The following is a 15,814-nucleotide window of genomic DNA, read 5'->3' as shown; positions in this document are numbered from 1 at the left end:
TTGAGTTGATACAGCAAAGTAAAAGAAATAGGTTATATTTGGGAAAAGTCTTAAATATGACACTTGTTTAGTGAGAAAAAATAATTTTATTAAATTTGGAAATTATAACAATATTTGGAATTTAAATACTGAAAATTTATATTATGGTACTGCTATTAAACTATGTTTTAATTTCATACATTTTCATTAATGTTGACTTGTAGTTATATTTGTGTAATATTTTGCTGATAAATTGCCTTTGTATTCCAGGCTTTCATGTTACTCTGTGATCTTCTGATGATTTTCAGCCACCAATTAATGACAGGTGGCAGAGAGGGCCTTCAGCCTTTGGTGTTCAATCCAGATACTGGACTCCAATCTGAACTCCTCAGTTTTGTGATGGATCACGTTTTTATTGACCAAGACGAGGAGAACCAGAGCATGGGTACTTGTAGCTATCATCTTGTCAATATTGATTTTTTTTTACCAACCCCAAAAGATAGGAGAAAAGAAACAAATTCAGTTCTAAAAATTATCGAGATTTCTTTCTTTTAAAAAAGTTGGCCAGGTGCAGTGGCTGACACCAGTAATCCTAGCACTTTAGGAGACTGAGGCAGGAGGATTGCTCCAAACCCAGAAGTTCGAGAGCAGCCTAGGCAATATGGCGAGACCTTGTCTCTACAAAACAGAAAAAACATAAATTAAAAAAAAGTTAATAGTAATACATTCATATAGTTCAGAAACCAACAAGAATAAAAATGTACATAGTGAAGTCTCCCTCCTTTAATACTGTACCTCAGATCTTTTCCTGTCGTTATATAGAGAGCTCTGTCTTTCTCTAACAGCTACACAGCATTTCTTTATGTAGATATAGCATAATTCATATTATCCATCTCACACAGATTGACATATGGCTAGTTTCCAATCTTCAACTATTACAAACTATGGTGTAATGAATAGTAGTGTACATTTGTCATTTGCCACATGTACAAATGTGTATGTAGGATAGATGTTGTTTCTAATTGGCTATGTCCAGGTTCATAATTTTTCTAAAAGAAAGTATCCAGGTTCCTTTCTGTTCCTAAGTGGTCATTATGTATTACTTAAATGAACAAAACCTAACTGTTTGATATTAAATGCTGAAAAACTGTTATCAAACCTCACTAGTGAAAATTGTGCTATGCCTGCAGAATGATAACTTAGCAATATTAGACTGAATTGTTAATGATTAGTTGTAAATAAGTTCACTTAGAATACATTATTTGTGAAATAGATTATTTAAGCTCTCTAAAATAATATAAGAAGTATATTTGATCCACAAGTCTATTTGATGCTGTTCGGCTGTTCTTTCACAACATTTTGGAAAATACTAGTCTGTGAAACAGTATGTTTATTTAGAGTCTATATTCATCTCAGGAGACAAATTTACCTGCTACTTGTCTTAAGCAAAAAAATGTGTTCTTCTCAAACCACTGATGCTTCACAATAAGACTAATTAGTAGAAAGGAAAGAGACTGACAGCAAGTTCTTTTTGCGAATCTATACATATAAGGGAGAGAAGAAAGAAGGTTGATTCCAAATAAGGACAGGCCAGGACACGGGAGGGTCAGTACAGAGCCTGAAACAAATGTTATCATCTGGAGTCTTGTTGGCATGTTTTTTCTAGGATTAGAAATAGAAACCCCAGTGGGGTCTGGAACTTACAAATTTGAGGAAGAAACACACTTGTTTTGAAAGTATTTGATAGGGCTTTAAAAATTTTTTATATGTGCATAACATGGTATGCAAAATATTTTGTTTCTCAGTTGATAATGTAACCATGTTTAGGATGAGCACTGAAAATTTAACTCATCCATATTTCAATTTCTTCCCTAAATATTTTTCTAAAAGAAAACTTTTTCCTTGTGTCTTAAAATTTTTCAGAAGTGTTCTCTCAGTGAGAATGTATTAACACATAAGGAATATTGAAATAAGAAAAGACAGCGTTTTAAAGGTAATCAGATAATTTCACAGTATTGTTATGACACAAGTATCAGAAAACCAATCTTTATACAGCTGTCTCTCAGTATTGTGGGGGATTGATTCCAGGACTCCCACTCATACCAAAATCCATGGATGCCCAAATCTCTTAAATAAAATGGTAGAGTATAATCAGCCCTCCCTATCTGTGGGTTCTGCATCCACAGATAGGGAGGGTAGACTATACATGGTTTGCTTATCTTATTCAGTCTTTACTATGATAATCTCCTAAGAAGACAGAAACCTTAGTACCTATTAAATGTTTGATAAATGAGTAACTAAATACAGCACCCTAAAATAATTAATGTAACAGTTTTTGTCCCATCTAAAACTGAATTGTACTATTTGTGAAGTTATAATATTAAGCTAATTTTCAATTATACAGATTATCTGCATTGTTTTACGTGGATAAAGTACCAGAATTCATAACCAATTTGTAATCTGTGTTTAGAGGGTGATGAAGAAGATGAAGCTAATAAAATTGAGGCCTTACATAAAAGAAGGAATCTACTTGCTGCTTTCAGCAAACTTATCATTTATGACATTGTTGACATGCATGCAGCTGCAGACATCTTCAAACACTACATGAAGGTATAGTTAAATATTCTTATTTTTCTCCTTCCTCTAACTGGCAGAGAAATTAGCAATTGAAAGGATGATGACAGAAGCTAAAATTGACAGCTTTTCACCTATGTAATGTGGATGATTTTATGATAAAGTTTCTCTTATATAAGCTTTTTATCAGTCTGTACTATTATATCAGTTCCATTGAGTAGGAGTTCCAGCATTTATATGAAAGAACATACTTTCTAGCTACTTTCATAAGCTCCATTTTGTTCCTGACTCTCTGAAAAAGCAGGGCTCAGAGACCTTCTTGATGTGGCCTGACAGGCACAGATGGGAGGGAATACTCAGTTTTCCTGTATTTGCCTTGTTCTTGTGTCAGAGAGAATGTTCTCTTTTATTTAGAATATTGTATGTGTCATTTGATCTACTTGTGTCTTCATGTTTGGGTGTAGTCCAATTCCAATTATGGCATAGTAGCTGATTTATCATATTATGCTGAACAACTGCAATGTGTTGAGTAATGTGCTGGTAGCCAGAGGTTTAAGTAAGACATGATTTCTGCACTAAGGAGCTTACAGATTAAGAGTTAACTAACATCTAAACATAATATAATGTAGCATACTGATAATGAATGACTGCCATGTGTTCATGCCATTTATATTTGAGACACTGTTCTAAGACTTTCACATTATCATTGATCTTTCTAATCCCCCTGTGATGTAAGAAATAGTATCATCATTTACATATAAGGAAACTAAGGCTCGAGAGGTAAACCTTTCAAGGTCACACACAACTATTAAAATAACAGAAACTGGGATTTTATTTTAGGCTTGTCTAACTTCAAAGCTTAGCTCTTTTCACTAGACCACAAAGCTTCAGCATGATTATTGTAGTGATAGATGCATAAATTACTAACCTAACACCAAATATAGAGAGAGACTTAAGTGAGAGGAGCAAGAGAAGACTTCCTAAAGCTAATGTGTAAACAGAGTTGCATGGATAAATAGGAGCTTACTAGATGAGCATGGGAAGGAAGACAAGCCCTTGCCAAGACAGCAGCATAAATATGCCTACCTGTTTCAGCTCATTTTTCTCTACTTAATCCAAAAAGAAATCATGAAAGAACTTGTCAAACTAATTATTGATACCCAAATAGACTGTGATATTTGCATGTTGAACCTTTCTAAAAGAAAATGTCATGATCTGTTAGCAAACTTCTGCTTGCTTCCAGTGACCATTTACTTTCCAAATATTCGCAGGCATTACATTTAATTTAATAATGTATTCTGTAATCTTAGGCTCAGCATCAAGCTCACCGATGGTATTGTTCAGAAAAGTTATTCCTCATCCTGATTTTCCATCAGTCACCTGGAACTTTATTCCAAATTACATGTTCCTGGGTCCCACTCAACCTAAATGAAAAATATTTAGGGTGGATCCCAGGCATTTGTGGAGGAGGGGTTAATTTTCCATATAACCTTCTTTCCTTTTGGAAAATCAGAACTATGATTATCTTTCTCTGTCCTCTAGCACCTTTCCTATTCTTCACCATTTCTTAAAGAGCACAAAGTTTCCATAATCTCCACAAATTTTCTTAAGACACGATTCATCTGGCCTAGGAAACTAATTCAATTCGGAACAACTTGATGCTTTCATTATCTCTTCACTAAACCTGGATGTCAGTTCCATTTTATAAGTGTTTATCCTACCCTTTTTATATAGTTTTCTCTTTAGCAGGAAATAAAGGGCATGAAATATGTTGAATTCTGGTTTTTCCTGGTAATCCTTTAACAATACTTCATTGGTTCCAAAAAGTGAGTCTTATTCAGAACTTTTATCATCCTTAGCATTTCAGGGACACTTCTATTCACTATAGGCTCTAACCTTTTTGTGAGTATTATAATAGCTATTTGCTCTTCTGATATATGGCTATGTGGCTTTTCCTCCAATTTTTGTACATAATTGGTTCAGTCTGAACTTAAAAGAAATCTGCCTGCTCCAGTACTTTAGTGTTTTGATATTTATCTTTTTCTCTTCATTGAGATAATTCTTCTTTGCACTAAAAGGATCCTTTTGAGCTGTTCGCCTTTTAGCATTTCACATCATGGAAACATACCTATCTTTTTGAGATTTTGAAAATCTAATTGCCAAACTATTATTAATCACTTCTTCACATAGGCTGTAGACTTTAGCTTGGAAACAATGTCCAGATTTAATGGTTTTAAATGAAACCTTTTGATTATTTACTCACAGAAAAAATTATTTAAATCTTGTGTCAAGAAACTGAATTATAACTTTTCCCAGTCACTGTCGAAGATGTCTGTGTTTTACTTTTTTATATTTCGATAGTAAAATATAGACATGTTGATGGGGGGGTTACAGGGATGAGATAGTGCACAAAGTATTAAATGAAGAGTTAAGTCTGTTACCCTAATCCCCCCTTCCCCCTATTTAGGCCCACCCCCCAGAAGTAAGCAGTTTTAACTGTTTTGGTTTTAGTTCTTCAGGAGGCTTCTACCAAAATTCTATTTCTTGATCTGTCACCTTTTAGATGTTGTCTGTTCAATCATGTTATAAAGAATGGGGCCAGGCACAGTGGCTCACGCCTGTAATCCCAGCACTTTTGGAGGCTGAGGCTGGTGGATCACTTGAGGTCAGGAGTTCAAGACCAGCCTGGCCAACATGGTGAAACCCTGTCTCTACTGAAAATATAAAAATTACCCGATCATGGTGGCACACACCTGTTGTCCCATCTACTTGGGAGGCTGAGGTGGGAGAATTGCTTGAACCCAGGAGGCAGAGGTTGTAGTGAGCCGAGATCATGCCATTGCACTCCAGCCTGGGCAACAGAGTGAGACTTCATCTCAAAAACAAATAAAAGCAAAAACAAAAAACAAGAATGGAGAAGGCCAGGTGCAGTGGCTCACGCCTGTAATCCCAGCATTTTGGGAGGCTGAGGTGGGTAGCTCACTTGAGGTCAGGAGTTCAAGACCAGCCTGGGCAACATGGCAAAAACCCCATCTCTACAAAATATTTTTTAAAAAAATTAGCCAGGCGTGGTGGCACATGCCTGTAGTCCCAGCTATTTAGGAGGCTGAGGTGGGAGGATCACCAGAGCCCAGAGTTGAAGGCTGCAGTGAGCTACGATCACACCACTGCACTCCAGCTTGAGTGAGACCCTGTATCAAACAAGAAAAAACAAGAATGGGGAATTTTTCTCACCACCTCTCTTCCTGGAATTCCCAGCTTTTTTGGTTTTACTAGTATTAGTTCATAATCTTAAACATCAAATGTGCATTCCTGTAACTTTAGTTATTTAACTCCTGTTATGTTTAAGATGAAGAAATAAAACACTTTTTTATTTACCTTTCCTTTCTTTTACCAACCAACCTGTTCTTTTTTTTTTTTTTTCATTTTCAAAGGAGGTGACACCAACCTATTCTTTATCTCATGAAATGTCAGTAATTTTAAAGCCATGTTTTCTTTCTTTCCCTCACAGTATTACAATGACTATGGTGATATTATTAAGGAAACACTGAGTAAAACCAGGCAGATTGATAAAATTCAGTGTGCCAAGACTCTCATTCTCAGTTTGCAACAGGTAAGAAATTTGGAGAGAGGGAGACAAAGAATGGAAATAACATTATTGCACTTCTCTGTGCTTAATATTTGCTAGGTATCTCATCTCATTTAAACTAGGTCATTTTATATCATTTTGTCAGTGCATTACTGTGGATATTTTCTGGTACAAAGACATAGGTTAGGTGTCTTTTCTTTTGGAAGAAAATCCTAGAGTTCATATTTCAAATAGATGCAATCCTAAGGTGATTTATTCTTGGACTAGATGAAATGTCAAACTGGAAATTTAAAAAGTAGTAATTTAAGAAGAAAAATATAAAAAGTATTTCATGAGGAAGGGCACCAGGAGATAAGAAAATGTTTTTCATGTTGCGTAAATAAGATTTCTAATAAATGCTTAGTAATTTAAAATGATTTCAGGGGGCCTAGTGGATATATATATGTGATATGTGCATATATAAAAATACATAATATATATATGTTTGTATTTAGTTTATGATAAAAGTCTTATATCAGTGGCAAAAGGATTGGGACTATTCAATAAATGGTGATGGGTCAGCTGACTGTGTATTTGAAAAAAATAGCTGTTTATAGTCCTACCTAATGTGTACCCAAAATAACTACTAGATGGTTTATATATAAAAGGACAAAAATAAGGGTTTATAAGAAAATAAGAGGATATTTTTTAAATCCTCTTTCTAAAGAAGTCACAGAGTTCATAATTGATGATCCGTATAAATTTCTTTTCTTTTTTCTTTTTTTTTCTTTTTTTTTTTTTTTTTGCAGAGATGATGTTTCACCATGTTGGCCAGGCTGGTCTCAAACTCCTCGGCCTCAAGTGATCCACCTACCTCGGCCTCCCAAAGTGCTGGGATTATAGACATAAGCCACCTTGCCCCAGCCAATCTGTATAAATTTAAATAGATTAAATAGATGTATACATCAATCAGCACTTTGAGCAAAGTTAAAAAAAAAGTGACAGATGGAAATATTTTCAGTCCTACATAACAAATCCTACAGATCAGTAGGAAAGATAAATAAATCCCATAGAAAAGTGAGCGAGGGATATGAAAAAGGCACTTTTCCAAGGAAGAATCTTACAAACCAGTAAACATGAGAAGAGGCATTAGGCTGGACGCAGTGGCTCACACCTGTAATCCCAGCACTTTGGGAGGCCGAGGCGGGTAGATCACCTGAGGTCAGGAGTTCGAGACCAGCCTGGTCAACATGATGAAACCCCATCTCTACTAAAAATACAAAAAATTAGCCAAGCGTGGTGGCGGGTGCCTGTAATCTCAGCTACTCTCAGGAGGCTGAGGCAAGACAATCATTTGGACCTGGGAGGCGGGGGTTGCAGGTATCCAAGATCATGCCATTGCACTCCAGCCTGGGCCACAAGAGCAAAACTCTGTCTCAAAAAAAAGAAAGAAAAGAAGCATTAATTATATATAACATAAGTAATTAATAATTAATGAAAGCCAAGCACAGTGGCTCACACATGTAATTCCAGCACTTTGGGAGGCCAAGGCAGGCAGATTGCTTGAGCCCATGAATTCAAGACCAGCCTGGGCAACATGGCAAGACCCCGTCTCCAAAAACAAAAACAAAAATAGCCAGATGTGTTGGCACGCACCCCGTAGTCCCAGCTACTCGGGAGGGTAAAGTGACAGGATGGCTTGAGCCTGGGAGGTCCAAGCTGCAGTGAGTTATGATTGCACCTCTGCCTTCCAGCCTAGGTGACAGAGTGAGACCCCATTTCTAATAATAATAATTATTATTAATGAAATACAAATTAAAATGGATACTTACTGCTCAACAGATTGGCATGAATGAAAATGATTGACAAAGATATAGAGGAAAAGGCCCCTTTTGAAAACTGCCTTGTTAGAAGACAGTTTTGTAGTATATTCCAAAATTGAAGATATATATTCCCTTTAAGCCAGTAATTTTGCTTCTAGGTATCTACATGGATATGCACAGGTGTGTACCAATAAATATATGTAAAAGATGTTTTATTGCAGCAGTCTCTGTAATAGTAACAAACTGGAAATAGTCTAAATGTCTATCAACAGGGGAATGGTTAAATAAACTGAGCTAGATAAAGGATTTTTAAGACAAAATATTGAGTGAAAAATAGCAAGTTTCAGGACAAATGCAGTATGCTACCATTTATGTAAAAATAAAAACTTTAGCTGTAAAAGTAATATGTCTACACTGATCTAGAAAACTTTCAGACTTTAAACACTGGTTACCTTTGGAGAGAATAATGGTATTTGGTAGAAGAGAGAAAGAATAACTTTTACTTTGATATTCTTTGAATTTTTCACAACAAAATGTATTCTTTGTATTCACTTTAAATGTACACTTTAAGTTTTAAAGTTTAAGGCTATTGTATATACCAATATGTGAAAACATTTTAAAGTTTAAGAATTTATAAACAGCCTGTAATCCCAGCACTTTGGGAGGCTGAGGCGGGCAGATCACAAGATCAGGAGATCGAGACCATCCTGGCTAACATGGTGAAACCCCCTCTCTACTAAAAATACAAAAAATTAGCTGGGTGTGGTGGCGGGCGCCTGTAGCCCCAGCTACTCAGGAGGCTGAGGCAGGAGAATGACATGAACCCAGGAGGTGGAGCTTGCAGTGAGCCAAGATCATGCCATTGCACTCCAGCCTGGGTGACAGAGCGAGACTCCTCAGGAAAAAAAAAGAATTTATAAACAATTATCTATGAATAAATTTGAAATCCCTGGAAGAACTGTTCCTTCAGTAATGACATAGCAAGTAGTTCAGGCCAATCTATTGCTGAAGAAAACTAAAAAGGTGCAGAACATATTAGCACCCAGGAGCTATTTCAGTGAATGGTGTGATTAGAATAAATTGAGAGATTGGGAGGTGAGAGACTGAAGAAAAGAAATGTCAACAATACTTTTCAGGACCTTTGCTATAAAGGGAATCAGAGAAATGGGTTAGTAGCTGGCAGAGGAAATGGGGTCAAGAAGTTAAGAGTATTTTTAAGATGTATACATCTAGTACAGAAGGAATAGTTTAGGAGGCAGGAGAGAGCAGTAAACACAAGAGCAAAACTATTGAGCAGGCGAAACCTTACATACTCCCTTCTTATCTAATACATAGGAGGGAATGGCTTTAGGTGAAAGTCTGGACAGTTCACCCCTCATAACAGGAGGAAAGGTAGATGTCTACAGATAAAATTAAGTTTTTAGATTTGGTAGTGGAATGATAATTGCTTGTATATTACCTCCAGGGTTCTGTTTTTGTTGTTATTTTCACAGGAAATAGCTAACAGATATGCAATTTATAAAACTCCACCCAGCTTAAGAACTTTTTGGTATATTTTGTTACTGGGTGGGAAAAATCATAGCACCATGTATGTAAATGGTCTTCTTTTATATAATGTTCTTGTTTGAAATATAATAAGTGAAAAAACAAACCTCTTAACCCTATATTTCATATATTGTCATTCCTGTAAAAACAATAACAAAAAGAATAGATGTTTATAAATATACAGTGTACTTCTATAAATATATTTCCTTTTCCCATCTCAAAATACATTCTTTTGGCCACGTGTGGTGGCTCACGCCTGTAATCCCAGCATTTTGGGAGCCCAGGGCAGGCGGATCACTTGAGGACAGGAGTTTGAGACCAGCTTGGCCAAGATCTCTGCTAAAAATTAGATGGGCATGGTGGTACACGCCTATTATCTCAGCTACTCAGGAGGCTGACGCGTGAGAATTCCTTTAACCCGGGAGGTGGAGGTTGCAGTGAGCTGAGATCCCACCACTGCACTCCAGCCTGGGTGACAGAGCGAGACTCTCAATAAAAGAATGTGTTTTTTTATTATTATTAGAAACAAATTTCTGTCTGCATTTAATCACACCACTAGCATGAAAATTAACTCAAGCTATTAATAATAGACAATTTGTAGAAAGGGAACAGAGTAGCTAAAATTCAATGCAAGAAGAGAAACATTTCACCTTATACCTTTTACATATTTTTTAATTACCTATTCTGAAAATAACTGTTTAAAATTCTGAGCTATAGGTTTTTTCTTCTTTTTTTCTTTCTATCAGTTATTTAATGAACTTGTTCAAGAGCAAGGTCCCAACCTAGATAGGACATCTGCCCATGTCAGTGGCATTAAAGAACTGGCACGTCGCTTTGCCCTTACATTTGGATTGGACCAGATTAAGACACGAGAAGCAGTTGCCACACTTCACAAGTGAGTGAGATAAACACTTTGTTATGCAGAATCTGATTTACTTGAATTTTAATGAAATAACTCTTATATGACCCATTTTTAAAGTGACGATAGAATTTTAAGTTATAAGAACTTTGGAGATTAGTTTAGAGATTCTAAACTGGGAGGATGTTTTTAATTTGAAAAAACTTAAACCACCCATTTGTTCATCTTACAAAGTATGGAAAGCAAAATTTAATAACATATTATTGTCTGGTCTGTCAGTAAGAAAACAGTGGGTTTGAGAGACTATACAGGCTGGGTGTGGTGGTTCACGCCTGTAATCCCAGTGCTTTGGGAGCCCAAAGCAGGAGGATCATTTGGGGCCAGGAGTTCGAGACTAGCCTGGGCAATGCAGTAAGACCCTGTCTCCTGCAAAAAATAAAAATGAGCCAGGCATAGTGGCATGTGCCTGCAGTCCTAGCTACTTGGGAAGCTGAGCCAGGAGGATCACTTAAGACTGGGAGTTTGAGGTTATAGTGAGCTATGATTGTACCACTGCCCTCCAGCCTGGAAAACAGAGTGAGAACCTGACTCTGAAAAAATAATTATTATAGAATTTTTTGTTAAGACTATACAAAACTGATTTGGGTTTCATTATTGTGAAAACAGAAGTAACAGAAAATCTTTAGTAAACTCACACAGCTTGGTACCATTACCAGCTCTAAGAAGCAAATATTCTGGCAATGTATTAATAATTCTCTGTCCAGGGTATCTTCTTACCTCTAAAAACTACACATAGTGGGCCAGGCACGGGTAGCTCATGCCTGTAATCCCAGCACTTTGGGAGGCCAAAGGAGGCCAATTGCTTGAGCCCAGGAGTTTGAGACCAGCCTGGGCAATATGGCGAAACCCCATCTCTACAAAAAATGCAAAAATTACCCAGGTGTGGTGGCACACACGTGTAGTCCCAGCTACTCGGGAGGCTGAGGTGGGAGAATCACCTAAGCCCAGGAAGTCAAGGCAGTGAGCCATGATAGCACCACTGCACTCCAACCTGGGCGACACAGTGAGACCTTGTCTCAAAAAAAAAAAAAAAAATACGAATTTAGCTTTGTTGCTCTGTAGCTATTTTTTGTATATTTTCCCCAACTTACAGTTTCATACTATAAATATACACAAATATGTCCTATATATTCACATTAGTTTATTATTTGAATTTATCAGATTTTACTACCTTTTGTGATAATTTTACTACCTTCACAAATATTTGTGTAATGTTAGCTAATTGAGAGAATTACACTATCTGGAAAAATAAGTTGATATTTTCTTTTACTTCAGGGATGGCATAGAGTTTGCATTTAAATACCAAAATCAGAAAGGACAAGAGTATCCACCTCCTAATCTGGCTTTTCTTGAAGTACTAAGTGAATTTTCTTCTAAACTTCTTCGACAGGACAAAAAGACAGTGTAAGTTGCACATTACAAGAGAAGTGGTTTTTATAATAATACTGTTGTAAATGTTTATTTTTTGAAAAATTTTTAATCATTTGGATATCTTTACTCTTGATAATTTAGGCTCTGATAGTTTGTTTTAAGGAATTATAGTTTTCCTTCAAGCATTTATGTAGTAGTTATTTCACTGCTTATCTTTTAGTACCCTAGAATCTGCAACATGAAATTAAGCAGGTGGAAATGATTTCTTATTATGCAGTTCAAAGATGTATAAACACTGGTTTAGCCATTGTGTAACTCTTCCTTCTTTCCTTTTATATTAATTTCATTTTAGTTTTATATTCTATTTGACTTGTTTCAAAAGATTGATTTTTTTCATATTTGCTTTTTTTGATTATTGATAACAGTTTAAAGAAATATATATGTAATTTCAAAAGAAAATCTTGATTGGGTAAGTTTTATTTAAAACCAAACCAGAAAACTTCTAGGCTGGGCATGGTGGCTCACACCTGTAATCTCAGCACTTTGGGAGGCCGAGACGGGCGGATCACAAGGTCAGAAGATCAAGACCATCCTGGCTAACACGGTGAAACCCCGTCTCTACTAAAAATACAAAAAAATTAGCCGGGCGTGGTGGCGGGTGCCTGTAGTCCCAGCTACTCAGGAGGGTGAGGCAGGAGGATGGCGTGAACCTGGGAGGCGGAGCTTGCAGTGAGCCGAGATCGCACCACTGCACTCCAGCCTGGGTGACAGAGCGAGACTCTGTCTCAAAAAAAATAAAATAAAATAAAAAATTTAAAAAAAATAAAAAAAAATTAGCTAGGCATGGTGGTGCATGCCTGTAGTCCCAGCTGCTCAGGAGGCTGATGCACAAGAATCGCTTGAACCCAAGTGGCAGAGGTTGCAGTAAGCTGCGATCATGCCACTCCACTCCAGCCTGGGTGACAGAGCGAGACTCCGTCTCAATAAAAAAATAAAATAAAATAAAAACTTTTTTAGAGGATAATACTATAATGAATCCTAAATTTTATAAACTGTTAAGACAGAGAGTCCTTTATAATATTCTAGCTGGGTGCAGTGATTCACGCCTGTAAGGAGGCTGAAGCAGGAGGATTGCTTGAGTCCAGGAGTTCAAGACCAGTCCTGGCAACGTAGCAAGACCCCATCTCTATAAAAAAATTTTAAAATTAGCCAGGTGTGGTGGTGTGTACCTGTAGTCCCAGCTACTTGGGAGGCTGAGGTCGGAGAATCACTTGAGCCCAGGAGTTTGAGGCTGCACTTAGCTATGATTATGCCACTGCATTCCAGCCTGGGTGACAGCCTGGGGAGCCTGTGTCAATCAGTCGATTTTTTAAATATAACAGGATTCTAAATAAATAGAATTTTGGAGAGACAGTTAATACTTATATGACTATAAGTGATAGTTCTAAGTAAAGATGTTGATGTCATGTTGATCAGAAAATATTCATTAAGCCCCTAGTATGGTCAGCTACTGTTGTAAAGCTTATGCTCTAATGCCAGGGGGCACAGCATAAACAGGCAGATGGCCAGGCTCAGTGGTTCCGACCTGGAATCCCAGCTATTCCGGAGGCTGAGGTGGGAGGATTGTTTGAGGGCAAGAGTCTGAGAGCAGCCTGGGCAAGACAGTGAGACTGTCTCTAAAAAAAAAAAAAAAAACAGGCAGACAAACGAGAGTTTCAGGCACTGAAATGGGGTAATATGATAGAGACAGGTGTTGAATATTAGTGGGAGTGGTTTGAAAACTTTTTCAATACAGGCATTTACAGCTATACATTTTCCTCTAAACATTACCTTAGCTGCATCTTGTAAGTTTTGGTATGTTGCATTTCTGTTTTTATTCATCTCAAAGTATTTTCTCATTTCACTTATTTCTTCTTTAACCTATTGGTTATTCAGGAGTATTTTGTTTAATTTTTATGTATTTCTGAATTTCCAGATTTTCCTTCTCTTACTGATTTCTTCATTTCATTGTGGTCAGAGATCATGCATTGTATTATTTTAATCCTTTTAAATTTATTGAGGCTTGTTTTATGGACCAACATACGGTCTTAGAGACTGTTCCATGTATCAGTTGACAAAATGTGTTACCATTCTGGTTTTGGTTGGAGTTTTTGTTCTGTAGATGTGTGTTCTGTCTAGTTAGCTTATAGTTTTGTTTATAGTGCTTTTCAGGTCTTCAGTGTTCTTGTTAATCTTTTGCTTAGTTGTCCTATTCATTATTGAAAGTGGGATATTGAAGTCTCCAAATATTACTATTGAATTGTCTATTTGTCCCTTCAGTTCTGTCAGTTTTTGCTTCATACATTTTGGGGCTCTCTTGTTAGGTGTATATACTTTTTTTTTTTTTTTTTTTTTTTTTTTTAAGATGGAGTCTCACTCTGATACCCAGGCTGGAGTGCAGTGACACAATCTTGGCTCACTGCAATCTCTGCTTCCCGGGTTCCAGCGATTCTCCTGCCTCAGCCTTCTGGGTAGCTGGGACTATAGGCGCGTGCCACCACACCTGGCTAATTTTGTATTTTTATTAGAGATGGGGTTTCACCATGTTGGCCAGGCTGGTCTTGAACTCTTGATCTCAAGTAATCTGCCCACCTCGGCCTCCCAAAGTGCTGGGATTACAGGTGTGAGCCACCACGCCTGGCCTGTACATACATTTTTAATTGTTACATCTTCCTGACCAGTTGAGTCTTATTCTAAAGTGTCATTCTCTAAGACATTTTTGTGTCATACTACTATAATCACTCCAGCTTTATTTTGACTACTGTTTTGCATGGTACACCTTTTTTTCCATCCTTTCACTTTCTGCCTTTGTATCTTTGAATCTAAAGTGTGTTTCATGTAGACAGCAAATTGGATCATGTGTTTTTAAATTCAACCTGACATTCTCTATTATTATACTTTTTGTTTTTTATATGTCTCCTGGAGATTTTGTTTTTGTTTTTTGGTTTTTTTTTTTTTTGGTTCTTTCTCCTTTACTGCCTTCTTTTATATTAAATGTATGTTTTCTAGTGTAGCATACTAATTCCTTTAATTAATCTTTAATTGTATTTTTTTAGTTATTTTCCTAGTGGCCTTACCAGGCCTTACAGTATACATCTTATCAAAATTTACTGGCCGAGTGCAGTGGCTCACACCTGTAATCCCAGCACTTTGGGAGGCTGAGGTGGGCAGATCACTTGAGGTCAAGAGTTCAAGACCAGCCTGGCCAACATGGTGAAACCCCATCTCTAATAACAATACAAAAATTAGCCGGGCATGGTGGCACATGCCTGTAATCCAAGCTACTTGGAAGGCGAAGGTGGGAGAATTGCTTGAACCCCAGGGGCCCCAGGGGCAGAGGTCGCAGTAAGCCAATATCGTGCCACTGCACTCCACCCTGGACGATAGAGTGCGATTCCGCCTCAACAAAACAAAATTTACCTAAGGTCTATCCTGATTTATTCTAAGGAAATACAGAAACTTTAATTCTATATAAATCCATTTCCTTCCTCCTTTTTTGGCTATTCTTGTTATACCTAGTCCATCTATATATATTAGAAACCCAATAATAAATTGTTATAATTATACTTGAGATAATCTTTTATAGAAACTGAGAAAAGAAAGGAAAGCCAGTATGTATTTATAGAGTTTGTTATATTAATCTTCCTATTTACCATTTTTCTGGTTCTCTTCATTTCTTCCTGTGGATTCGAATTGCCATCTGGTATCATTCCTATATTCAAATACAGCTTCTCTTTCACTCACTTTTTTGTGTTTATTGTCAAATATATTACATTTCTATGTTATTGACCCAACAATACAGTAACATACATATTGTTTTATATATTTGCTTTTTAAATCAGTTAAGAGAGAAGGGATAAGTAAATATGTAATTATACTTTTGTAACTACCTACAAATTACCTTTACTGGCACTCTTTGTTTTTTCATGTAAATTCAAATTACCCTGTGGTGACATTTGCTTTCAACTTGACTAACTTCCTTTAGTAGGCAGGTCT

At 36.7% G+C, this 15,814-nt stretch overlaps 1 protein-coding gene across 7 annotated transcripts in view; it reads left to right on the top strand.

Moving 5' to 3' along the window:
- Nucleotides 1-15,814, top strand: part of STAG1 (STAG1 cohesin complex component) — a 416,143-nt gene that overhangs the window by 382,847 nt on the left and 17,482 nt on the right. For all 7 annotated transcript variants that reach the window (NM_005862.3, XM_047447229.1, XM_047447228.1 and 4 more), the window contains 5 exons: nt 250-424; nt 2,450-2,589; nt 6,065-6,166; nt 10,236-10,384; nt 11,684-11,812. In NM_005862.3, coding sequence (NP_005853.2) covers nt 250-424; nt 2,450-2,589; nt 6,065-6,166; nt 10,236-10,384; nt 11,684-11,812 — 695 coding nt within the window. The remainder of the gene's footprint in view (nt 1-249; nt 425-2,449; nt 2,590-6,064; nt 6,167-10,235; nt 10,385-11,683; nt 11,813-15,814) is intronic.

The sequence above is a fragment of the Homo sapiens genome, chromosome 3 (assembly GCF_000001405.40).
Source record: "Homo sapiens chromosome 3, GRCh38.p14 Primary Assembly".
NCBI classification, from domain to species: Eukaryota; Metazoa; Chordata; class Mammalia; order Primates; family Hominidae; genus Homo; species Homo sapiens.
This window is presented reverse-complemented; position numbering and strand designations above follow the sequence as displayed.